General features: G+C 47.4%; 1 protein-coding gene across 6 annotated transcripts in view, besides 2 other annotated features; it reads left to right on the top strand.

The window, feature by feature from the left end:
• The window catches only part of CD247 (CD247 molecule), an 87,890-nt gene that overhangs the window by 11,799 nt on the left and 49,712 nt on the right, over window positions 1-26,379 (top strand). For 2 of the 6 annotated variants that reach the window (NM_001378516.1, NM_001378515.1), the window contains exon 2: window positions 12,675-12,767. The exons of the other annotated variants lie outside the window; for them this stretch is intronic. In NM_001378516.1, coding sequence (NP_001365445.1) covers window positions 12,675-12,767 — 93 coding nt within the window. The remainder of the gene's footprint in view (window positions 1-12,674; window positions 12,768-26,379) is intronic. 6 annotated transcript variants of the gene reach the window in all.
• Window positions 2,728-3,228: an enhancer, noted in NCBI's record as "H3K4me1 hESC enhancer chr1:167472740-167473240 (GRCh37/hg19 assembly coordinates)". NCBI's record gives its function as "activates a minimal SCP1, AML or CMV promoter by ChIP-STARR-seq in naive H9 embryonic stem cells {active_cell/tissue: H9 hESC(naive)}" and the evidence as "EXISTENCE:reporter gene assay evidence [ECO:0000049][PMID:30033119]".
• Window positions 20,201-20,781: an enhancer, noted in NCBI's record as "H3K4me1 hESC enhancer chr1:167455187-167455767 (GRCh37/hg19 assembly coordinates)". NCBI's record gives its function as "activates a minimal SCP1, AML or CMV promoter by ChIP-STARR-seq in naive H9 embryonic stem cells {active_cell/tissue: H9 hESC(naive)}" and the evidence as "EXISTENCE:reporter gene assay evidence [ECO:0000049][PMID:30033119]".

Raw genomic sequence — 26,379 nt, 5'->3', positions numbered from 1 at the left:
GTCTTTAGGAATGCATCTCTCATGTAAAGTGTAGCTACTTTGTAGTCAGAAGTGGCCTGTGGCAATATCGTGATTAGGCTGGGGTAGGGGTTAGGGTTGCTGCCACTTAGTTCTACCTTCAGTGATAAGAAGAGTAGACAGCAAGCCTTGGCAACATAGCAAAAACCTGTCTCTTCTAAAATACAAAAAAAATAAAAAAGAGAGAGAGAGAAAATATTCGCTGGGCACGGTGACACCCCCCTGTAGTCTCAGCTATTTGGGAGGTTGAGGTGGGAGAAATGCTTGAGCCTGGGAGGCGGAGGTTGCAGTGAGCCGTGATAATACTACTGCACTTTAGCCTGGACAACAGAGTGAGAGAAAAAGAAAGGGAAGGGGAGGGGAGGGGAGGGAGAGGAGAAAGAAAAAAGAAAAGAAAAGAAAGGAAAGGAAAAGAAAAGAAAAAAGAAAAGAAAAGAAAAGGAAAAGAAAAGAAAAGAAAAGAAAAGGAAAAGAAAAGAAAAGAAAAGAAAAAAGAAAGATGGCGTCTCTCTGGGAAGATTTTCTGTGACCAGAGTGGGACTGGGCTGGTATGTCAGAATCTCGGAATATTTGACCTGGAAAGTATTATAGATACCTTCAAGTTCCACTTCTGGATTTTACCAGGGGAGAAATGATGGCCCTAGAGAAAAATAATACAGATCAAGAAATTGCCATGTCATAAGCAAATGGCAAATTCAGCCCTTAAACCCAGGACTTTTGATTCTTGCTCTAGCTGCCTGTCCTCTGGGCTGACAAGCTGCCCTGTTATAAGTAAATGGCACTTCTGGAGCCAGCCACTTGGGTCTCAGGTGTGTGTGATGAGACCCTACACTAGAATGACAGCCACAAAAGAGCTGCAGGTGGCTGGGCCACCTTAGCTCATCCTGTCCATGAAGGGGATGGCTTTCAACTGTTTCAGGGGGTACAAAAAGGCATTGGATCATCCCCACAGTGAGGAAACCCCTCCCCACTCCCCCTACCAGATAGCTGTCAGTGCTGCTGAGAAGCCTACCTTGGTCTCCCTCCACTCCAGCTTCTGCAGGCCAAGTGGCCATTGTTGTTAGATTTTTTGCCCTGTTGTGCCATAGGCCCTGACCTGCCTACCTGCTGGGCAACAGGCTGCCGGAGGGCGAGGGGCAGCCCTTGTGCCTTGCCCCACATGAGCTGCACTCATGCTGCCTTCCAGAGAAGATGAATTTAGCCTTCCACCTGAATCCTTTCAGAAACGAAGCAGGCAGGCAGGCAGGCAGCAAGAAAGCTATAGACACACACATACATGCAAACACATACAAGTAAATTTAGCCAGAGTGCTTTTAGTCTATAAAGATGTTCAGTAAAAGTTTAATGAGTGAAGAAGTGACAAAAATACCATGTATTATTAGTATATCTAGGCTCAGACAATGTCTTATGGTATGTAAACCGTATCTCAACAACAACAACAACAAAAAAAGCTACTCAGGAGGCTGAGGCAGGAGGATTGCTTGAGCCCAGGAGTTCCAGGCTGCAGTGAGCTATGATCGTACCACTGCAGTCTAGGCTGGGAGACAGAGCAAGACCCTGTCTCTAAAAAAAGAAAAAGAAAAGAAAATGTCAGCTATGTACAAGGGAATCTTCACTCACCAGAGGAAGCCCTTGGAAGGTTTTGTGCAAGAGAATATTATAATAATATGTAAATATAGGTAGAATATTTAAAGAAAAGCTGTCGTGAGTTATTTGGTATTGTGAGGACTCTTCTTCTAATCTACTTGTTTTCATGAGTATGAATTTTCATTTATTGGATTTTTGTAGAATCGACAGATATATTAACTTTTCAAAAATAGAGACGTGCCCAGATTTTCCTGTCAGTTGTTCACCAACGGATGAGATCCCAAAAGGTAGGCAAGATTGATCGCTAGGTTTTAGAAGGGTTTCCTTTTAAGGGCTTTTTAATGAAGCCCATTCTAACTGAGATTCCCACTGCCCCACTGCCCTAGCGTCCCGTTAATGACAAGGAGAGGCAGATAAATGCCTCTTTGTGCCAATAAATCAATGGCATCTCTGCTTCTCTGCTGGGACTGTCCAGGACCATGGTAACCATAAGGACAGTGACCCACTGATCTTAGGCCTTGGCAGGCAAACTAGCCTTTACTAGTGATGGTGTGTCCTGTTAGGCTATGCCAGCTGGGGAGAGAAGACTAAAACCAATGAGAGAAAAACAAGTAATTTTCCTGTTAGTGAAGAGTGCCTGTTTTAATCATACATTTCATCGTCAGAAATATTATCAGAGATAGAAATAAAATGCAGAACATAGCTGCGCATTAATTCACTTTCAGTGTATTTTCTGAGCAAGCGATTGTATGTCAGCGGCTGCATTACAGTTGCTGCTCTCAAAGTACTCACATTTCTAGAGGAGAGGGATATGCCTGGCTGGTAAAGTGATAGAGGGGTGGTAACTGTGAACACTTGTGATGCCGGGGCTTGTTTTATGTGCTGTTTGCATGCATTAGGTCAACTAATCCTGTGGCACTTTTATTGATGTCCCCACTTGATAGGTGGGGAATTCAGCCCTGGGGGTCCATGGCTAGCAGGAGCACAGCCAGCCTTTGGCCCCAGGCAGCCTGCCCTCGCTCCCCCCGCCATGAACCGCATTGCCTATACACAGCACCCCGGGAGCCCAGAGGTAAGGGTCTCCCTCATATTTGCTTGTCACGGACTTGGAGGGAGGAGTTGAGGTTTGTCTGCCACATGGAGAAGGGAATTAGCAAAGGGAAGATCTGGTGGTAGGAATAGGATTTTCTGCCCCAGAAAACCAGGAAACACCAGCCGTGACTCTAATCCCTACCCCATCCCTGAAACTCACTTCCCACCCTCAGGCTAGATGAAGAGGCGGGGGTAGGGGGGCATGGCCTTTGGCACCCTAACCGGTAGCCTACCCCTCCTCCAGGCCAAGTCCTCACCTGGCCCCATGGTTCCTGGTCCCAGGCAGACCCTGTTGCCACCTGCTCAGATGTGTCACCCTTCCTTGTCCCAAGGACCTGGCTCCTAAACAATGTGTTCAGTGACGTTTATAACAAAGGCACTCTTCCCCAATCTATGTTCAGCAAGATGTTAATACTATACTACAAAAAAGAAGGAATGTACATTTTGGAAACAGTAGTTTAAGTGCACTGAAGAAGGGTTTTGTTTGTTGTTGTTTAAGTGCAGGACTTTTCCAAAACTTCTGTCTGCAAATGTGCATTACACGTTCCCAGGGGGAAGGGAGGAAGATAGAGTTATGCAATGCAATGGAAATTAATTTCACCCCTCTTGGCATCTGGTTTTTCAGGGAACACCTATTAAGTGACCTGCAGAATACAGAGTGAGGGCTCTAAGAGGAAGTTATGAGAAAGCTGGGCTAGAGGATTAAAGGAAAGCATCCTGGGAGGTAGGATATGAATGGGTAGGATTTAATGCAAAAAGGAGGAGGAGGAAACTTTGCAATTCAGGGCATGGCCTCAGCCTGATGACAAATGCCCCAGGGGGACCTCCTAAAGTCGGTTCATTTTGAATACCGGCAGGAGCAGACGCAAGCTGCCACCCCTCCTGTGTAAGGCTGAGGTAGCTGTTCCACAGTTTCCTGGGACTTGCCAGCAGGATGAAGTTCCAGTTGTTAACCACAGTAGCTAACCTCATAATGATTCCTTCCTTCACCTGCCTCACTTCCCATGTTCTTACTGTATTCATTTCCTAGGGCTGCCTTAACAAAGTGCCACAAACTGAGTGGTTTAAGGAGCAAAACCTTATTGGCTCACAGTTCGGAAGGCTAAAAGTCCAAAGTCAAGGTGTCTGCAGGGTTGGTTCCTTCTGAGGGCTGTGCAGGAGAATCTGTCCCAAGCCTCTCCCCAGCTTCTGGTGGTTGCTGGCAATCTTTGGTGTTCCTTGGCTTGTAGATGCATCATCCCAATCTCTGCCTTCATTTTCATGCTGCATTCTCCCTGTGTGTGCATGGCTGTCTCTGTGTCCAATTTTTCCCTTTTTATAAGGACACCAGTCATATTGGATTAGAGCCCACCCTAATGACCTCATCTTAACTTGATAATCTGAAAGCACCCTATTTCCAAATAAGGTGACATTCAGAGGGTGTTAGGACTTCAATATCTTTTGAGGGGACACAGTTCAACCCATAACACCTACCAACGGTTTCTGGAATCATCTCTCAAAATAAACTATCTAAACTCTAATCTTTGTTTCAGGGTCAGCTTCTAGCAGAACTCAATGTAAGACACCCTTTTAAAGATGGTACCTCAGAGGTACAGACAGATTGTGAACCTTCCCTAGCACAGTGTAACAAGTCCCTTGCAAAAATCCTGATTTGAGTCAACATTGTAATTTCTTGCTTAAATCTAAGAATATGCCTCCCAGCTTCTTCCAAGACTATCTGGGGGAGTTGTTTCTAGGGTGGCTCAATTTATTCGTTTTGAACGCTGATGGCCGTGCACCACACCGTGGCTCAATGGGTGTTGAGGACACGTTCACATGCAATAAATGCACAGGGCTTTGCCATTAGGTGGCATTAGGGGAAGGACACTTCCAGCATACTGCAGAGGCATTCTCTTCCAGCCTGGTTGCCTGTCAAGCACCTGCTGAGATGACTGGCCCAGACGGAGATTGTGGGGTTGCTGAGCCAGCCCTGTCCCCTCCTTATCTCCGGAAGATGGAATAAATGCGTGTCAGAAGGGAGGGTGCCTCCCATCTCGGGAGCACCGGGGTTGCCCTTCAGAAAAACATTGCCTGCACATTTTGTAGTCTTGAAATGAATCTGAGTGGCAATTCAAGCGGGCAGAGCTTGTTTTGGATTTTAGACAGTTCTACCTGCGTGCTCCTCTTCTCTGCTCCAGCTCTGACATCTCGGCTCCACATACAGTGGTCTGAAGTGGCATACGGACCCTGAGAAGAGGAGAGGCAAAGGTGGCAGCTGTGGCTGGCCCCTCCTGCCTTCTGGTCTCCTTGGCTGGTGAGGGAAGAACAAACACAGTTGTGTTTCCAGGTCACAGCTGCCAGGGCTCCACCTGTGGGGTGGGTGGCTCCAGTTCTGTTCTGAGTTAAGAAATGCTGCAAATACGTTCTCCTTGAAAGAGACACTAGGAATTGACCATTTCTTTCTGCAGCTTTCTGTAGCCAATAAGCATTTGAGGAACTGGAGAAGGGTTCAGCCCTGAATTGCAAGGGAAAACTGTGTGAGTGTGTTTTAGTTAAGAAAAAAGTTAATTCTAGTGAGACCTGCTTGTTTACAAAACAGATGTATAGGCCAGACAGATGTACAGGGATGACCTTGACTTTCTTTTGTCATTGCAGGAAGGTGGGGTATGTATGACCCCTGGTTAAGAACAATAGGAGGCCGGGCGCAGTGGCTTACGCCTGTAATCCCAACACTTTGGGAGGCCGAGGCGGGTGGATCACCCGAGGTCGGGAGTTTGAGATCAGCCTGGCCAACATGGAGAAACCCCGTCTCTACTGAAAAAAAAAAATACAAAATTAGCCAGGTGTGGTGGCATGCCTGTAATCCCAGCTACTCGGGAGGCTGAGGCAGGAGAATGGCTTGAACCCGGGAGGCGGAGGTTGTGGTGAGCCGAGATCGCGCCATTGCACTCCAGCCTGGGCAACAAGTGCAAAACTCGGTCAAAAAAAAAAAAAAAAAAAAGAACAATAGGATCAGAAGTCGGATGGCTGGGTCCATATATACCTCCACCTCTTCTGACTCCCAGTTTTCCATCTCTGTTTGAAAATGAGTCTGTAAGCCTCTCCCCACCTCTGCCTGTTCCCATCCCATAGCACCAGGCTGACTTAGGCAGCCACACAGCTGGGATGGGAAGTTGGCCTCAGTGAGCAGATGGTACAGGGGCTGAGCTTAAAACAAAAATCACAAACATTTCTTGGGGGGTATCCTCAAGGCCGATAACCCTCTTACTAGAGTGAAATGGAAAACCAAATGTGATTGAGCTGCCTGAGCGATAAAAGCATTTGCTGTTATTCTCTGATTTGCTCTGTTCATGGAGAGTTTAGTCATAGGAGTTTCTATTCTCAGAAACTCACAGCACATCACAATACGTAGCTCATTTGTCCTCAAAATAATTCTGCCCTGCATAAATGGGTGTGTGTGTAGGGGGGTGGTAATTATAAGAAACCATGTGTGTTAGAATTGATGTCAGTGCTTTGAGATCATCAGATAAAAGCTAATAAACAACACATATGTGTACAGGCCACCTCTCTAATTCATACCAGAAGCGCTGGTTGTAATCAAAGCATGGCATATTTTATTTTAAACTATTTTATAAATAACCTTTGAAACTGTGTTGATTGTGAAAGCCAAGATCTGATGTCCTGTTAAGGAAAGATGAAAATAGGCTAGAATTAAAGAGCAATATGAGTCTGGATAAAAGTGACAGGAATTACTGTAGGACAATAAAGCATTGGGTCATGTCAAGTTTTCATCACATGGAGAATGGAAAGCTGCATCATAAATGCTCTCCACCTAATCATCCTGAGCATTCTCATTTTAGTGCGATATATTGTCCTCTTGGAAGCAATAATCTCATTTAGGTCATGAGTAAAATAAGTTGGGTTCAGCGTTTCCATTTCAAGATATAGAGAATATTTCTCCAGTGCAGCATAAGAAATAGAATATCACCCAGGAGAAGCTTTACATAGGCAGTGATAATGTGGAAAAATCTAATAAAGAGAACCCACGTGCCCCAGGGAGGAGAAGCCCTCTGTGTGTGTGATTGTCGTCAGGTGAGCAGTTATGGCACACTTTGTAGTTTTGCCAGTGCTTTTATGTAAATTACTGTATGCAAAATCCACAGCCCTCGGGGATGTGTGGGTATGGCCTCTGTTACTGACAGAGGAACTGAAACTTCAAGAAGGCAAGTGATTTGCTCAAGATTGGTTATCAGTAGAGTTGGGGTTTGAATTCCATTCTTCTGGATTCAAATCTAAGCTCTCCCTCTGCACAGTTACATGTGGGCAGGCTGTGCATGCATATCTGTGGCCTGGAGGAGTGGGGTGAGTAACCTTACAGGAAGGAATACCCTGCACTAAAATTTGCACCTAAGCTTCCATTATTACGCCTACTTTTCATTTTCTGTTTGTTTTCCTCTTAGAGGTTAAATTTTCCATTCCTGATTTTAACCCAAAGAAAGGCTAAGTAAATTCCAGGGGCCACTCTTGAATAAGGGCAGCTGGAAAAAAATACACAATGCCCACCATCTAGCTTAACAGGATGTGGACACCTTCAGTCGTGGCTAAATCTATACAGTTTAACCCTAGCAACAATTTCCCAGAAATAAAACAGCTGCTCTTTCTGGTATTTGGTTAGTCTCCAGCTGGGTCAAGTCCCTCTTGATCGAATGCTTGGAGCAGGGTTTCTCGACCTCTGCACTAAAACACCTGGGGCCAGATAATTCTCTGTGGCTGTGGGCACCAGGGAGGCTGTTCTGTGCATTGTAGAATGTTGAGCAGCATCCCTGACCTCTACCCACTAGATGACAGTAGCACTCCCCAAGTTGTGACAACTCAAAATATCTTTAGACGTTGCCAAATGTTTCCTGGGGGCAAAATCTGCCCCTGGTTGAGAACCAGTGGATTGGAGTCATCATTTGTGTTGATCAATCACTCCGTGATGATTAGGCCATGATGGACAATTCAGGCTGACTTTATTTTGCTCATTAGGTTGACCAGAAGACTGGCAATTGATCCACTGCTAAGCACTTTCCTGACACAAGCTGAAATGATGTCCTCAGGAGCCCCGTGTGCGCATGGCTTTTGGGATGGTTCTTCCCAAGGAGGACAGCCGTAAACCATAGAAAGCAACCACTTGACTCTGGGTGTCCCTGGTTTGCAAGTGCCTCTTGTGTCCGCCATCTGCATTTCTGTCTAGATGGTAAGGTTGAGGGAGGTCAGTTTCAGCAGAAAGTGCAAAGAGCATAGATTCATGAGGCAATCAGACCTAAATTAAAGTTTTGGCTTTATCACTACCCAGCAACGTGATCTTGGGCAGGTTTCTTGACCTCTCTGAAACTGTCCTCTTCTTTATAAAATGAAGATTACCTACCTTGCAGGGTCATTGGGATAATTAAAGAAAATGTGTGTAATGGGCCCAGATGGAGCTAGGCCCATAGCAGCACTGTAATAAATGTTTTCGATTACTGTACATTTTACAAAAATGAATGACTGAATGGAAAGGTAGAAAGGCCAAATAGAGTGTCTGAGGCATCTCCATGGAGGAGGGTGCCAGTGGCCATGTCTGTCTGTGGCTGATCGCAAGACTCTTTTGACAGTCCCTGAAGCCTGTGCTCATCTTCAGCTCCCTTGAGGCCCTCTTCACCTGGCCTCACCCAGTGTCCCTGCTCTTCTGACTCCTGAGGGACCTGAGCATTCCAAAATAGATGTTAGGAAGATGTGGATTCATGTAGAAGGATGTCAAGGCATTGTTGGTTTTAGCAGTTGATCTTACCTGGGGTGTGAAAGACAACCGAAGTCTGTGAGCTGCAGTGATAGAAATGTGAGCAGATGGGCAGGATAGGAAGGCACTTCTTGACGGGAGCAGCAACAGAAGCCACTGCCTTTGGCCAGGACTGGGGGAGACACAACAGAACAGGACTGGCAGAAGATGCCACATCCCAGGGTCCCCAAGATCAAGCTATGGCACCATCACCCATCTACAGCAAGATCTGTAGCAGGAACCAGGGAGAAAAGTCTAGACCCTCAGTAAACTATGCGGCCAGGACAGTCCGAGGTCAAGCCGTAAAGGAGGCTTTTTTGGCATCTTTTTTCTTCTCCCTTGGGCATCATGGAATCTGTGCTGGGTAAAGAACCTTGGAGATCCCCTTTGCCTTGACTCCTTTGTTTCACTGGCCCTCAGAAAGGAGATGGCAGAATCACAAAGCTGGTGGCTGAGCCAGAAAGATATTGTAGGTGGAATTCAGGTTATGGATAGGGTTAGGTTCCCCTTGAAGAGGGAGTACTGAGTTTGTTCCTTGGAGAGTTTGCGGTTCTAGCTCTGTAACCCAGGACTGACTCTCAGCCCAGTGCTTTTTCTGTTGTGCCAGGATGCATCCTCATCCTATATCTTATTTTAACTCATACTGTTTCCAAATCAAATACCAACAACATTTACAACCTTTACTTTCTTATTTATTTAATGCTCCCCCTGAAAGTAGTAATTTGCCACTAAGAAAGCCTCCCCTGCCCTAGAATACTAAAGAAAACGAGAACTAAGCGAAAGAGGACCTGTAGTCAGCGATTTCACTGTATCCTATTTAAAATGAAATGGACTTTATTTTCTGCTTTGAGAACCTAAAACACCACACTTTAAAAGATGATATTTATCATATCTTACAAGGTCAAAGCATACTTATTGGGGAAAACTTGGAAAAGGTAGAAAAGAACAAAGAGAAAATAAAAATCATTTTAAAAAATGTTACCCCCAAGACTGATTAGTATGTTGGTGACTGTCCTTCTAGGCTTGGATATGTGCATTTTATTTCGTAACTGTTCTTTTTACTTAGCAATAAATCATGGTCATCTCTCCCTGTCATGAACTATGTCTCTACATCAACTTTAGTGCCTGTAAAATGCCGTAATTTATTTTACCACTGTCTTTTGTCAGACATTTAGATGGCTTCATGTTTGGACGCATTATGAATAGTGTCACTGTGGACATTCCTGTGCATACATCTGTGCTCACATTTGTGGCTATTTCTTTGGAATGCACTCCTGGCAGTAGGGTTGCTAGGTCTCCCCTCACTGTCAGTGTCCCCGCTCTCCGGGGCCTGCTTTTTTCATCACCCGCCTCCCCGTAAAGATTCCTAAGTTCCAGGGCTATCTCCTTCTGATGGAGATCTCCTGGGTGATGTGGTACACGTCACCCACACCCCTGCCACCAGCCTGCTGTCCAACAGATGGAGCTGATAACCATTTAGGAACAATCCTTAAACTTCTAACCGACTCAGTCCCTGATTAGACTTCTTGTCTTGCCTTATCCCTGGTTATGTCCCTTCTCCCTCCCAACCCTTACCCACTTCTCAGCCCCATGCAGGAGGCCCAGTTTGTCAGCTGGCCTTGCTAATTTCTCTCTTGGCCCAGCCAGAGATCGTCTAGGTTCCTTCTTCCTACTCTCTGCCCGCTCTGTAGAGTCAGACTCTCCACGGGATGGAGATCTTCAAGGCCAGAGAGATGCAAAACCTCCTTGCTTCAGGATCCGGAGACAAGCTGCTGCTTTTAAGCAGATCCCCTCTCAGGCAGGTTCAAGTACTGACCCAAAGAGCAGGGGGGTTGCAGGGCTCTAGTGATTCTTGTGTGACCCCAGCAGACTCAAGCTGTTGCAGCAGTCAGACATTTGGTGATACCTACAAAATCATCTAGTCCAACCTCTCTTCCAACAGAACTCACACTCGATAGCTTCTTTGATGAATGGAAATCCAGACTTCTGGGAACACTACTGTGATGAGCAACTCACTACCTGCCTACCTACCTACCTTCCTTCCTTCTGCTTTATTTCACAATTCTTGCCATACAAAATGAACAAACACACAAACACCACTACTAATGCTATTCATTCATTTATTTATTCAACCAATATTTATTATTTACTATGTAGCAGGAACAGTCTAGGTGCTTTTGAAACAATCATGAACAAACTGAACCACAGCAGCAACAAAATCCCAGATCCCATATAGAACTAACAATTAAAGACGGAGACAGGCAATAAACGAGGTAAACTGAAAAATATGTAGATAGTTGTGATACATGCTGAGAAGAAAAATAACACAGAGAAGGTGCATAGGAAGTGTCAGGCTGGTGGTGTGGGGATACAGTTTTGGGTAGGGTATGCAGGGATGTCCTTGCTAAGATGGTGGCATTCTAGTCAAACCCAGAAGGAAGTGAGCGAGCAAGCCAAGTGGGAACCTGGAGAAGACGGAGGTGGCAGTGCAGACTGGCATGTTCCTGGAACTGCAAAGAGGTGGTATGAGTGAGGGGAAGGCCAGTAGGAGGTGAGGTCAGACGTATTGAGTTCTGGGGGTTTGGGGAGAGAGTGACAGTTGCAAACAAGCTTGAAGGACATTTTGCTCTAAGTGAGATGGAGGTCAAGGACTTGGAGCAGAAAAGATACATGATTATATGTTTTGGCAGGATCATTCTAGCAGCTGGGCAAGGAACATGCTGAGGGGGAATAAGGGCAGAAGTAGGCATTACTTAGTGATGTTTGTTCAAGAAACATCTGTTGCGCTCCTATATGCCAAGCACTGCGTAGGTGATAAGGATTAAACGGGAGCACACTCTTCTTCCCTCTGGTAGGTTACTGTAACAACTACTCCCACCTCTGTCATTTATGAGTATTTACCCAGTCCCAAGCTCTGGGGTGAGCACACCCGTCCATTATTGCATTTATTCCTCTCAGCAAACTGTAAGGTAACAACCTCAGGATATCCTCATTTTACAGTTGAAGAAACTGAGGCTTAGAGAGGTTATGTAACATATCGTAGACCACATAGATACTAGGTAGACAGCCAAGATTTAAACCCAGGACTGTCTCACTCCAAAGCCTGCAATACTAACCACAATGCTGTTGCTGGAAACTTTTTCTTACGCTGGACTTTGAAAGTTCACCTAAGACAGCATGAGAAGTGATGGTATCTTCCAGGCAGCCACCTGGGCCACCAGCCCTCCCCTCCTTGGGATCTGCCTTCCCACTTTGTCTGAATTGAGGGTCCAACACTGCTCCTCGGACACAAGGTCCAGGTGGGGAGAGAACAGAGTCCAGCCCAGCCAAGGCAAGTCACCTGGGCTCTCTGGAACCCGGACTGCTTTGCTGTAGAGTAAAGTCCTGGAATAGGTCTCTAACCCTCTTTCCAGCTCTGAAATCCAAGGCGTATGTGATCTGAGGTAATAATTGTCTTGCCTCTCATGCTTGGTTTTTGATGAGACCTTCACATTCTTTAATAAACATTTATCTGTATCCAGGAATTATAGGAGATACAAAATGCCGAGGAATGCACTACTCATGATCTTTTTTGATCCTTTTAACAATCCAGAGACATGGGCTGTGTAAAGCCACAGTGCAAAATACAATTAGGAAAACACAGCAATAAGACCACTGTAGCTTTGAATGGTGCTGTTCACTAATTATTACCTCCCCACCCATTTTCTCATCTGACCCTCACAGCAGCCCCATGAGGTCGACAGGGTGAGGACATTATCCCCATATCACAGATGGGAAAACTGCAGCCCAGGGAGCTATGCGATTTCTCCCGAGGTCCTCCTCACACTAGTGTAGTGGAGCCGCTATGTTTATTGACCCCAAATCCAAGTCAACCCAACAGTCTCTAGAACGTTCCAATTACCTGGCCAGTCCTCACTTAGATAACATCGGACTCTTTCAGAAAAGATTAAACAAATCCTCTATTTGTTGACAGAGGTTTTGCTGAACTGGCCCTGGGGATCCGAATTGATCATGGCCATCAACACAGGCAGCAAAGACCCTTCAGAAGTGTTTTATTCACTAGCCACCTCCATCCCCCAACCCTCCATCGTCTAAAGTGTCTCCTGACTCAGTTCTGTCCCCCTGCTTGTCCTCTTCTCCTATTAGCTCTGGGTACCCAGTCCAGATCATAGCCCCAAGCTCTGTCATCATTTTGCAGCCTCCAGCCTCCCCCACCCAACTCAGCAGAGCCCTGAGAAGAAAGTCCTGGGTCCCGGAGGCTGCACCTGCAGACACAACAGATTCTGCAATGGTGAGAGCATATAGGGTATTTTGGGTCTCCAGTGGGGTTTTTGCTGATTCTGTGCCTGACCAGGGCACATGCTTCCTGGAATTAATAATTCTAGATAAAGAAGCCTAGCAGATGCCCACCTATGGAAAATGCTTCTTAAACAAGAAGAATCTCAGAATTAGGAGGCCAGCTTCTTGTTCTCAGCACTGCCCCTAACTAGCTGTGGGGCCTCGGACACGTCACTTGATGCCTCTGGTCCTGTTTTCTTCTGTACATTATGGAGGATTTGGACAGAGATGATCAGTAAGGTCCCTTCTAGCCAGACTGTCAAGGTTCAAATCCTAGCTCTGCCACATTCCAGCTGTGTGATCTTGGACAAGTTACTTTATCTTTCCTAAGCCTCAGTATCCCCAACTATAAAATGGGCACAATAGCACCTATCTCATATGGCTGTTGTGAGGACCCAAAGATACAATGAATGTCAGCCCTCAGCACAGGGCCTGGCACAGAGACAGTACTCAGCTAAGTAACTGTTTCTAAGTTGTTTATGATTTGAAGCTAAGGATAGAGATGCTTATTCTGAGAAGCAGAAAGGAACAGATGGAGAAGGAAAAAGGAAGATGGGACAAAAGGAGAAAAACTGGCCAGGTGCGGTGGCTCACACCTGTAATCCTAGCACTTTGGGAGGCCGAGGCTGGCGGATTGCCTGAAGTCAGGAGTTCGAGACCAGCCTGGGTAATATGGTGAAGCCCTGTCTCTACTAAAAATGCAAAACTTAGCTGGGCATAGTGGTGGACACCTGTAATCCCAACTACTCAGGAGGCTGAGGCAGGAGAATAGCTTGAACCCAGGAGGTGGCAGTTGCAGTGAGCCGAGATCGCACCACTGCACTCCAGCCTGGGCGACAGAGTGACACTCCATCTCAAAAAAAAAAAAAAAAAAAAAAAGGAGAAAAATTAGGGAAAATAGGGCAAAATTGGGGGTGGAGAAAGGCAGGAAAAATTTGAGGGCAGCAACTGCAATAACTTCAACAGAAAAGTAGAACAATAAGCATACAGCCCCAAAATACTCAGCCCCTTTCCTGCCTCCCCTTCCTCTCTGCCCCTAGCAGACGCCATGATAGCTCCTGGAATGATGCCTTTTATAACTGTGGGGCATGTTCCTCCAGGCTGACACCTTCTGGGGGGGCCCCTGAACACAGCATGGGCTCAGCCTTCCTCCCACACACCTACCCTGGTAGGCATCCCTTTGAGATGGATCTGAGTGGTTTCCCACCTCCTTCTAGGGGTGAACTGTCAGTTCAAGAAGGAGGTTTAGGGGGATGGGATGTCCCCTACCTGGGGCTAATGGGGGCTTGGGAGGTGGCTTACGAATCGAAGCCGAAGACAGCAGCCTACGTGACCAGAAAGGAAAATTCCCCTCCCTGCTAGTTAAGAAGCTTCACAGAAGCTCACCAGACTGTTGTTTTCTTTCTTTCTTCTTTTTTTCCTTTGTGCACACATAAGCGTCTAAATTTTGCAAACTGTTGCCTACCTTTGTCTCTGAGAGCAGTGGAAAATATTGGACTAACAAAAATAAGCAACAGCCAGTGGGAGAATAATAGAGAGGCAAGGTCTCCTGGTCTAGTTGGCGCCGCAGGGGTTAAGCCTTTCTGTCGGTGAAACAGGCTAACAGCACCCCCTGAGCCTGCTGACCTCTTCCGGCTCTCCTGGTCCTTCACACATGTCAACTGTGAGCACGCTCCAATACTGACAAGACTGTCTTACACCTGAGGCAATTTTCATAGCACAGGCTGCTAATTTTTCCTCCAGGTTTTTTGTTTGTTTGTTTTTTTGCCTGGTAAAATACACATAACATAAAATTTACCCTCTTAGCCATGTTTAAGCGCACAGTTGAGTGATGTCAAGTACATTCATATTGTTGCGCAACCATCACCACCATCCGTCTCTAGAATTCTTTTCATTTTGCGAAACTGAAACTCTGTACCCATGAAACCATAACTCCCCATTCCCGCCTCCTCCCAGCCCCTGACAACCACTATTCTACTTTTTGTCTCTATGATTTTAACTACTTTAAGTAACTCATATAAGTGAAATCATACCATATTTGTCTTTCTGTGTCTGGCTTATTTCACTTAGCCTAATGCCCTCAACTTTCATCCATGTGGTAGCATGTGTCTGAATTTCCTTCCTTTTCAAGGCCAAATAATATTCCACTGTATGCATCTGCCGCATTTTGCTCATCCATCCATCTGTCAATGAGTGCTTGGTTGCGTCCACCTTTTAGTGATTGTGAACAGTGCTGCTATAAACATGGGTGCACAAATATCTCTTAAAGACCCTGCTTTCAATTCTTTTGGGTATAGAACCAGAAGTAGAATTGCTAGACCATATGATAGTTCTATTTTTTTTTTTTTTGAGATGGAGTTTCGCTCTTGTTGCCCAGGCTGGAGTGCAATGGCATGATCTTGGCTCACTGCAACCTCCCTTCCTGGCTTCAAGCAATTCTCTTGCCTCAGCCTCCCGAGTAGCTGGGATTACAGGCATGGGCCACCATGTCCGGCTAATTTTGTATTTTTAGTAGAGACAGGGTTTCTCCATGTTGGTCAGGCTGGTCTCGAACTCCCGACCTCAGGTGATCCACTCGCCTTGGCCTCCCAAAGTGCTGGGATTACAGGCATGAGCCACTGCGCCCGGCCAGTAGTTCTATTTTTAACTTTCTGAGGAACCACCAAACCGTTTTCCACAACAGCTGTACCATTTTACCTTTCCGCCCACAGTGCACGGCATTCCTTCTCCACATCCTCACCAACACTTGTGATTTTCTGTTTTTTAAACAAGTAGCCATTCCAACGAGTAAAGGGTGATATAAATTTTTTAAGAGGCAAGACGTGCCAAAACTAGGATTTCAAAAATTGTAAATATAGAATAAAATAGACTATTTTAAATGTGACAAATTAACAAATTAATTTTAGCCTGCTTATATGAGTTCTTTCAAAGATAATTTCTTTTTATTTATTATTATTATTATTATTTATTATTATTTTGAGACAGAGTCTTGCTCTGTCAACCCAGACTGGAATGTAGTGGTGTGATCTCAGCTCACTGCAATCTCGGCCTCCCATGTTCAAACAGTTCTCCTGCCCATGTTCAAACGATTCTCCTGCTTCAGCGTCCTGAGTAGCTGGAATTATAGGCACCCACCACCCCACCAGGCTAATTTTTGTATTTTTAGTAGAGACGAAGGCTGGTCTCGAATTCCTGACCTCAAGTGATCTGCCCGTCTCAGCCTCCCAAAGGGCTGGGATTACAGGCGTGAGTCACTGTACCCGACCTTCAAAAATAATTTTTTTTTCTTTTTTGAGACGGAGACTCGCTCTTGTTGCCCAGGCTGGAGTGCAGTGGCGCGATCTCGGCTCGCTGCAACCTCCGCCTCGCAGGTTCAAGGGATTCTCCTGCCTCAGCCTCCGGAGTAGCTGGGACTACAGGCGTGCGCCACCAAGCCCAGCTAATTTTTGTATTTTTAGTAGAGATGGGGTTTCACCATGTTGGCCAGGATGGTCTCAAACTCCTGACCTCGTGATCCACCCAACTCGGCCTCCCAAAGTGCTGGGCTTACAGGCGTGAGCCACCGCGCCCGGCCTCAAATATAATTTCTAAAGGAAGAAAGAGATAGAGAGGGGAAGATAGAAAGAATGAGAGAAGAAAAATTAAGAAAGATGAGGTCAGATGACGGGGAAGGTGGAGAAGCTTTGCAGGCAGAGTCTGGAATACTGCTTTTGGAAATGTGAGGCCAGGCCCCGTGCCTTCCAAATGCACCCGATCTTTCCGCCGCCGTAGGTCCCGGATATATGGATTTGCTTGGGGACATTGCTTGCTTTCACAGGGAGGCTGTGTACTAGCAAGGACACAAAGATGAGCGCTCCACAGTTCCCTATTTGGGCCAGAAGGTCAAAAAAAGGGGTGGGGTGGTGGGGGGGCACAGGCAGCTAAACTGGCTCTGCCTCCTGGGGCCAAAAGGCCAGCTTCCTCCCTGGGCCTGGCTGCCCAGAAACCTCGGCGCGGGCACAGGTCAGAGGCCGAACTGGGTGGTATTCAATCTTGGGTTTAATGCATTTTAAAAACTGCTTTTGAAGGCGCAAATGCATCACAGTTCTTTCATTTCAGGGAAACCGCCTGTGAGAAAGGGGGAGGTGGGGAAAACGCTGAGCCCAGGAGGGGGCTGCCCTGGGCTTTTGTCTAACAAAGCCGCAGCTCCTCAGCAGCGGGGCTCTTGCCCTTTGAAAACCAATCGGGCAGGAACCCTTCAGCCTCCTTTCTGAGAGCCAGTCACATCACATTTTACAGATCTCAGAAAAGTGAGCCAAGTCCCTGCGCTATGTCACTCTGGGTTTGCGTCCCATGTCTCTGACACCCTGTTTTTCTGAGCAAACAGCCTCTAGGTGAACAACAGTATTTTGCTTCTCTCATCACTGAATAGGGTCAAACTTCCCATGGAATTCCACTACCAAACCAGATGAATAGAAAGAAAGCTGAGAGACCACTAAATAGGGCATTGCTGCTATCTCAATGAGAGTGTCACCTACCCACAAAGCAGGCAGGAAATCTTTAATTAACCCTGTTTCTAGACACAAAAGCCCTCAATAACATTTCATCCTATTTAAATAAATATTTTCAAAGAAGGTGATGTGGGAACACTTTTATTTTTGCTATTGGAGTGCTAATTTAATATCATATATAGTTTAAATTATCATATAAGAACCTATAAGCAGAGTTTGGGGTGGGGAAGGGGGGTTGGATCCTTCTAGGAACTCTCCTTTATCTCTTTCATTTTTATTCCACTGTGACACTTCCCTCTTGGGAAATTCCTGCCCCGGATTTTTATTAGTCTTTTGTCTGCTGTCCGGTGTTAAAACCTCACAAATCCATTACGTGCTTCTCGGCGCTGCCTTTCAAGTTACCTCTCCACGAGGTGTGGACTAATGAATCAAACGGCAAGGGAAGCAGCTGCCCTCAGCCCTCTCAGAAGAGGCCCGGCCCACAGCCATCCTTCAGAAAACCCTCCTGGCAGGCCCTCCCTGGGCTCAGCACACCCTCGCTTCCCTGGGTTTTTATTCGGAGCTGTCTGAGCTACAAGAACATACTCACGTACGTGACATAAAAACACGCACGCACATGCAGAAAGGGAAATACTTGTTGGGCTCCATCAGAGAGAATATTTTTCAAAAATCTCTCAATATTGTCATTATGTCAACTGCTAAAGATTCCCTGCTTGACAAAAACTTAATCAGGCTTCCAAACTTTCTCCTAGGCCCATCTGTGTACTTTCTTGCAAAATCCAGGTTTAGCAAAGAACTCTGCCCAGTTAGTTGAGCACAACCATCAACCTTCAATATCCGGTTCCCCTCAGTGTCTGATCAGGGTCCTCATCCCACTCCATCCCCCAGGTGAGGTCTGATCCCCCTGGCCTGTGTTCAGCTAGAGTCCTGTTAGGTTGGTTTAGCCAGAATCCCTCTCACTCTTTTTGGGAATTTTCTATCCATTGACCCCCTACTCTGCTCCTTGGCATAAATGCCCACTTGCTGTACTTGGAGTTGAGCCCAATCTTTCTGTCCCACTGCAAGACCCCATTGCAATCATCCTTCTACCTATCATGACAGTTTTGAATGAAGTCTGCCTTACTGTGCTTTAACAGGTATCATTGAATTATTTTTCTTTAACACATCTTAGCAGTAAAATTATCTTCAAAATTTTCTTAGAATGTATGATCATCATCTCTTATAGCTGTATCCTGATTTCCACTTTACAATAGAGTGCTCATATTATCATCTCATTTGTGCCTTTAACAAACCTTTTGGGGTAACAATTGTTATTTCCATGTGATAGCTGGAGAAACTGAGTTTGAATGAGTTCCTCAGGGGAACACAGCTAGAAAGTAGTATTGTGGGGCTGGCACACAGTGGCTCATGCTTGCAATCCCAGCCCTTTGGGGGCCGAGTGGGGAAGACTGCTTGAGGCCATGAGTTCAATACTGACCTGGGCAACATAGTGAGACCCCCATCTCTACAAAAAAAATTCTAAAAATAAATTAGTCAGATGTGGTGGTAGATACTTGTAATCCCAGCTACTCAGGAGGCTGAGGCAGAAGGATTGATTGAGCCCAGGAATTTGAGGCCACAGTGCACAGTGATCGTGTGCCACTGCACTCCAGCCTGGACAACACAGTGAGACCCTGTCTCGAAAAAAACAAGGTAGTGTGGTGGGAGTAGGACCCACACTTCTCACTGCTAGCCTGGTACTCATTCTTTTTGATAATGCTGTTGTGTCATGAAATGGCACTCAATTAGTGTTGTTGGAATGGTGGGTTGTGCCTGCCTCATAGACTGAGATCGGAGCCTACTTTGGTCAGTGCCTCCAGTAAGGTTATGCGGTTTAAGCATTGGATGGAGGTGCCAGGCTGAGGCTGCCAGTGGGTCCTGGGACTTGCCTGTACCTGCTCCCTGGCAGTGTGGGTCCAGGGATGCCCACCTGGAGGAAGGGGCATCAGCTGGCCTGAACCTGCCTGCCATGGAGCTGCCTTTTCTTTCTTCGTTTTTTCTTTTGTTTGTTTTAGATGGAATCTCACTCTATCTCTCAGGCTGGAGTGCAGTGGCACGATCTCGGCTCACTGCAACCTCCACCTCCCGAATTCAAGCGATTCTCTGCCTGAACCTCCCAAGTAGCTGGGATTACAGGCGCCCACCACCATGCCTGGCTAATTTTTGTATTTTTAGTAGAGATGGGGTTGCACCATCTTGGCCAGGCTGGTCTTGAACTCCTGACCCCGTGATCCACACACCTCGGCCTCCCAAAGTGCTGGAATTATAGATGTGAACCATCACACCCGGCCGTTTTCTTCCTTTTTTTTTTTTTGAAATGGAGTCTTGCTCTGTCACCCAGGCTGGAGTGCAGTGGCATGATCTCGACTCACTGCAACCTCCATCTCTGGGGTTCAAGTGATTCTCCTGCCTCAGCCTCCCAAGTAGCTGGGATTACAGGCACCCTCCACCACGCCTGGCTAATTTTTGTGTTTTTAGTAGAGACGGGGTTGCACCATCTTGGCCAGACTGGTCTTGAACTCCTGACCTCAGGTGATCCACCCACCTCGGTCTTCCAAAGTGCTGGGATTACATAGGCACGAGCCACCATGCCCACCCAGAGCTGCCATTTCTAACTCACACAGAGGTATCAGAGCAGCTTGCAGTGGCCCGCATAAGTGGCCAGAGCTCTTTCCTGGGGGTTGCAGGGGGTTTCTCTGCTGACCCCTCAGCAGGCAGCAAGCCCCATAAGCCAGAGTGAAAGGATGTGGTAGCAGAAACTGGCCTCTGAAGCGTGGGAAACAGATCTGCTTGCCGTCAGTGGCATGCCTGCCAAATCATGCTATCCGCAAACTCGAGGCGGGCCCTGGACCGGCGGCTGGGCCTGAGGTCATCTGGGCTTTAGTGCTAGTTCTGCTGCTGACACTCTTTGGTTTTATTTTTTTCAGTTTACAAAGTATTTTCACATAAACAGTCTCAGCTGATCTTCACAACAACACTCCGAAATTGTCCAGTCCCTCGATTTTGCTCCAGTGCTCTGAGAGGTTAAGTGACCTGCTCATGTCCCGCAGCACTTCCTCTCCCTCCGAGGCCAGGGCACTTTCCCCAGAGTTGCCTCTCTCTGGCTGTGGTGATTCGGGCAGGTCCTGTGTCCCTTCTGAATTTGACTTCTCATTTGACAACCGAGGGGGCTGGTGCAAGAACCAAACCAGTTTCTTGATCTTGTGATGAAAACATGTTTTCTTTCCACTCACTTTTCCATGTTGCTAATTTCTTTGGCCTGACAATGCCTGTTCTCTTGCTGTCTTGAGAGCAGCAGAGCTGAGGCCACCTGCCCCTCGGAGCATGGTGGTGTGTCCTTGCAGGGGTCAGAGTGGTGTGTGGATGGCAGTGGGGGCCGTGGAAGGAGGCTTCTGGAAGGCGGCCCACAATGACTCTTAACCCTCCCCTCCCCAGCCTCCAGTCGTTTTCTTTCAGTTAATTACCTGGTTGTTCAACCTTCTTGGCAGCTCCATAGTTTCTTTCCCCACCCCCAACATCCACAGCCCTCTTGGTCTCAGAGCTCAGCCAGAAGGAGGCAGAGAGTAAAAGTCATATTGTTTTGGTGGGAAATAGTTAAGATGAATTATACCCACCATTCTTGGTGGGTTGGATTTGGGGCTGGTGACAGGACTGAAAGGAGGGATTCCTGAGCTTGTGCCCCTTAATTTACCTCCCAACTGCCCTGGCGTTAACCACCTAGTAAGCCATGCCGGGATACCCTCCCCACGGGAGCCTAGCACGCCAGCCAGCATGCTGACAAAAGGAGGAGTAAGGCAGCTCCCTAATCTCAGGCAGCTCTCAGTGTTTCAGGAAAGGCAGGTGTGTGAGTGGGTCGTTTTCCTGGGTCTCCCTCAATCCACACCCTAGACTAGGTTTTTGCTTCTGCTTCCACCCCCACTACAATCCAAGATGGGAGCTTCCCCACCCAAAAACAAACCTCAGCCTCTCCACTTTGTCCTTCTCCTTCTGCAATGTCAAGCGGTCAGGCCATCCCATTCATTCATTCACTCAACAAATATTTACTGAGCTCCCCAGACGCAGCGCCAGGCCACAGCGGCACAGGGACAGAGCTGTGAGCAGGGCGTGCAGGGGTCTGTCTGCTCTTGGATGGGCTGAGTTGGCTGCTCTCCCTGCAAGCTCCCTTTTCATTTTCAAATGCCCCCCTTAGATCTTCCAATAGGTCCACAGAAGGCAGAAAAGACCCCAGGTGAGTGTGGGTTGTAACCAAGTGAAGGAGTCCATGCCATCTGCATCCATGAGGGTGTGATGTGCCTGGTTGTCCCTCACAAGGGGGTGCTGAAGGATGGGGACTAAAGGATTCAGGACAGGGCCAGTGTTTGGCCTGATTGTTATTTCCTGGGTTCCCTAGATACCAAATACCTGGGTTCTGCCAATGTGAGGCTTTCACCTCTGAACAGTCTGGCAGCAGAGCAGCAGGGAATGAGCCCCTCCCTGGACAGCCAAGGACCAGGCAGTCCCTCAGCCTCAGTCTCCTCAGCTGGAGAGTCATCCCGCCTGGTTTTTCTTCTGAGGTTGTGAGAGACAAGTGAACCTCTAAAAGCCCTTCTCTTTTTTGTTTTGTTTTGTTTTTGAGACAGAGTCTCGCTCTGTCGCCGGGCTGGACTGCGGTGGCGCGATCTCGGCTCACTGCAACCTCTGCCTCCCGGGTTCAAGTGATTCTCCTACCTCAGCCTCCTGAGTAGCTGGGACTACAGGCACGTGCCATGACGCCTGGCTAATTTTTGTATTTTTAGTAGAGACGGGGTTTCATCATGTTGGCCAGGCTGGTCTCGAACTCCTGACCTCAGGTGATCCGCCCGCCTTGGCCTCCCAAAGTGCTGGGATCACAGGCGTGAGCCACCGCGCCTGGCTGAACAGGGCTCTTAAAATGCTCCTGCCAGAGCAATCCAGACAGTGCCTCCTCCTCCTCCAGAAACTTGACCTTGGCCTCTGGGCTCCCAAAGGGGAAGGGTGTACAGAGGGGACTTCAGGGAGCTGGAGAAGCCCCTGCTGTCCTTGTGACTGAGATGGAGCTTTAAGGAGCCCCCACAACACAGTCAGCCTATAGGGAAGAGGAGGAAACAGAGGGAAGGAAGATGGGCAGGGAGCTGGTGGTGTCTGCTGATTGGGGGTAAAGGAAGTGGTCTCTAAAAGGCCAAATTACCCCCAGAGAAACAAGAAAGGAACAAAGGGAGGACTCAAGACTCTGCCTGTGTGGGGCACGAGGAATGAGGCTTGAGAGAGCTGTGATCTCACCTGCGATTTTGTATTCTCCACTCTGCCTCTGAACCCCACGGCCCCCGGCCTGGCCCACCATTCAGGCTCCCCAGCCTTGACTCCCACACGGCACCAGCGGTGGCAGAGCAGTGGGACACTTGCTGTGGGCAGTCTGGGCAGCCTCTGTTCAGGAAGCCTCCTGCTACCACTGCAGCCAGCCAAGTGGGCAAGCCATTTCTCCTGTTCCTCCGGAAGTGGCTAAGGTGATGTGTGCTGGGGAGGGAGTGGGGAGGGGAACCCCTTCTTGGACTCAGTGCATGCCCTGGGTTCAAAGCTGAGGGGCACTGCTGCAAAATGCTGTGCAAATATAAAATCCTTTCATAGTTATTGTCATCGTCATCACTGGGCACATTGTGCCACCTCCCAGAGCAGGCACTGCCCTGCAGGTGATGTGGCCTTGCTATCTTATGGAAGAGCTCCTCTACCAACTAGCTGTGTGACCTCAGGCAAGTAAGTTAATCTCTCTGAGCCTCTGACTCCTCTATGAGATGGGGAGAGTGTGGCCTATTTTCTGAGCCAGTTCTGAGGATTAAATGAAATAAACATTTATAACCAGTGTTAGGAACATAGGAGATGATAATAAATTCCAGCTCCCTTGTGGGAAAAACTAGCATGAATTTTTAACAAAATATCAGAATCTTCAAGGTTGGTGGGAAAGCAGGGTAGGGAGGGGGAGGGAGGCTATTTTTAGGGTCTAGATACCACCACCCTGAGAAGAGCCCTGATTTTCTTCACTGGACACTGTGGTTGATCAACTGAAGTCATTAGCATATTGGTTAGCTCACTGGGTGCGGTGGTTCACGCCTGTAATCCTAACATTTTGGGAGGCTGAGGCAGGTGGATCACCCGAGGTCGGGAGTTTGAGACCAGCCTGAACAACATGGAGAAACCCCATCTCTACTAAAAATACAAAATTAGCCGGGCATGGTGGCGCATGCCTATAACTCCAGCTACTCGGGAGGCTGAGGCAGGAGAATTGCTTGAACCCAGGAGGCGGAGGTTGCTGTGAGCCGAGATCATGCCATTGCACTCCAGCCTGAGCAACAACAGCGAAACTCAGTCTCAAAAAAAAAAAAAGAAAGAAAGAAAGAAAGAATATTGGTTAGTTCCTTTGCAGCCCAGTTTGTGTGGTTACTGGATCAGATTAGGCACCTCAGAGAGGGCCAAAACCATGAGCCAAACAAGGGCTTACCCAGACCTTCCCCCTCCCCACATTTTAGTTTTTCACCCATCCTTGAATAGACCTGGGCTCTGTCCTAACAGGCTGTGGTAGCCTGGGCCGGATAAACTACCCTCACCTCATCTTCCCTTCCCAGGGTACGGGCAGCCCAAGGCCTCTCTCCCAGGTGAATAGGCACACAGCCCTTTGGATATTTGTCCAGAAGGATTCCTTAAGGTCACTCCATGGTCCTCCATGGTGCTGGAGGCCCGAGGTCCCAGCCTCCCTAGAAGTTGTTGCTTTCATAGCAGCTAGGTCTCCCCTGCTGTGGAGTCACGATTCTCCACTCTTAGAAGTCAGCCCTTGGCCCCAGCCAGCATGGGCTTTGCTTCTGGAGAGGCTGAGGGGAGAAAGGAAGGGAGTGGCAACTCTTAGTGCAGAAGTGTGTTTGGAAGACACCCAGAGAGGAAAGACGTTCACTCCACCCCACCCCCACAGAGGCCAGGGCAGATTCAGAACAAACCCAGGCAAAGCCCTGAAGAAGCTGCCTTGACTCTCAAGCAGCCTCTTGGCTGTTGGTGAGGGAAGACCCGCCTTCTTTCTTGATCATCAGAGTCTTGTGAGCACCAGGGGGGAATTTATGGGCCTGGTAGCTTTAGGTTCAGAAAGGTCACTGAGAAAGGAGATGCCAGCTTGATCCCTTCATTCCAGAGCACCCAGGGATGGCGTTGTCTCCAGTCGGGTGGTGTTGGGGGCTGAACCTACTGTGGGTTCATGGTCATCCTCAGGCCAGAGAACTTTTCACAGGACCTAGAAGACCTCTCATTCATGCTGAGACAGTTCAGAGGTTGAGCCTCCTTCTAAGAGTTGTCCAGAGGGTAAAAAGAAAGGTCCCCAGAAGTCTTGGTTGAGAGGCAGAAGAGGGAGTGGGCAGGTTCTTAGGCAGGGATCACACACAGTAAAAGATACAGGCAGGTCCTGCTGCAGAAGGCCCCAGATCAACTTGGTCAGAGGCCTAGAGTCCTACTCAGCACCCAACCTTGGGTTCCATCGCTGCCTGCCCTGGGCCTCAGTGTGTCCCCTTTGAAATGGGGCAGACAGGAGTCCCTGGCCACCCTCACAGAACTGAATGCAGTGACAGGTATGGTCCTGTGACCGCCCCACCCCACCACTGCTTTTCCTGGAGGAAATGGGGACAGTGGTGCCATTTGCAATGTGGCTCCATCTGGAGTATCACGTGCACCAATCAATTCAATGAGACCCTTGTGCTCACTGCTGGATTGTGCGATGAACTTACTGCATCTGTCCTCAAGAAATGTATGGTTTAGAAAAGAAGTAAGACATTTCACACAAAATGATCAGAGCAGTCATTCTGAGTTTCTCTTTCCGCCCCCACCCACATTATAGACGGCACCAAAATGTATGTTTCTCATGGGCTTGTATGAACCCATCCTCCCTCTGCTCCCAACTTTCTCCCCTGCGTCATGAAATCTTTTGGAAAGCAAATGAGTAAAAATGATTTTAATATAGGTATAAGTTTGACTCTACCTGTTTTAATAGAAGTAAGCTATTTCCAAGTTTTAGTATTCTAACTACTATAAATGACAGTTTCCTTTCAGTGCCTCTTTTTGTTTGTTTGTTTTTGAGAGGGAGTCTCTCTCTGTTGCCCAGCCTGGGGTGCAGTGGCGTGATCTCAGCTCACTGCAACTTCTGCCTCTCAGGCTTAAGTGATCCTCCCACCTCAGCCTCCTAAGTAGCTGAGACCACATGAACATGCCACCACACACAGGTAATTTCTGTATTTTTTGTAGAGATGGGGTTTCACCATGTTGCCCAGGCTGACCTCAAATTCCTAGGCTCCAGCAATCTACCCACCTCAGCCTCCCAAAGTGCTGGGATTACAGGCAAGAGCCACCACACCCAGCTCAACACCTCTTAGTGGATAATGGTTGAGAATCAATATATGTACTAGAAAGCGAATCTAAGACAATGTTATAATTGTGCTATATGTCAGCCTTGTTGTTTCACATGTAAATCTTAGAGTTTTATCACGTCACAAATGTTCCCAAGAATACACAATAAAAGTCAAGAAATTGTAGCTTGTCATGAATTAAATGAATTACTTGTAACCAAATAATTTCAAAAGCAAAATTATAAAAATGCTTTCAACTGTTTTCATAGAAAAATAAATATATATTTAATGTTTAATGAGCATTTATCTTCACATTTGATTTAATGCAGGGTGAGCTGAAGAGTTAAAAGGGTTTAAAAGGTCTTGCTTAAACCATCCTCCAAACTATGTCCCTATTTTCTTTAAAATCACCTGAGCAGGATATCCCACAGTCACTCTTGTTTACATGCTCCACAGCCTGAAGTTTCAGGTTTAAGACATTGCAAAACAACCTTTTAGAGCTGGAAGAGATCTTGTTAGCTGGAAGGCTCCTAGGCTGGTTGAGCAGGAGGAGAGCTCTGGGGGTGTCAGGGGCAGGTTGGGGACAGGAGACGTTCTTAAGAGCAGAAGTAGTACCAGTAGCGTGCATGCTGCCTCAGTTTTTCTTGGTGTATTAAAGACTTGTGTG

This window comes from Homo sapiens, chromosome 1 (genome assembly GCF_000001405.40).
Source record: "Homo sapiens chromosome 1, GRCh38.p14 Primary Assembly".
Classification (NCBI taxonomy): Eukaryota; Metazoa; Chordata; class Mammalia; order Primates; family Hominidae; genus Homo; species Homo sapiens.
This window is presented reverse-complemented; position numbering and strand designations above follow the sequence as displayed.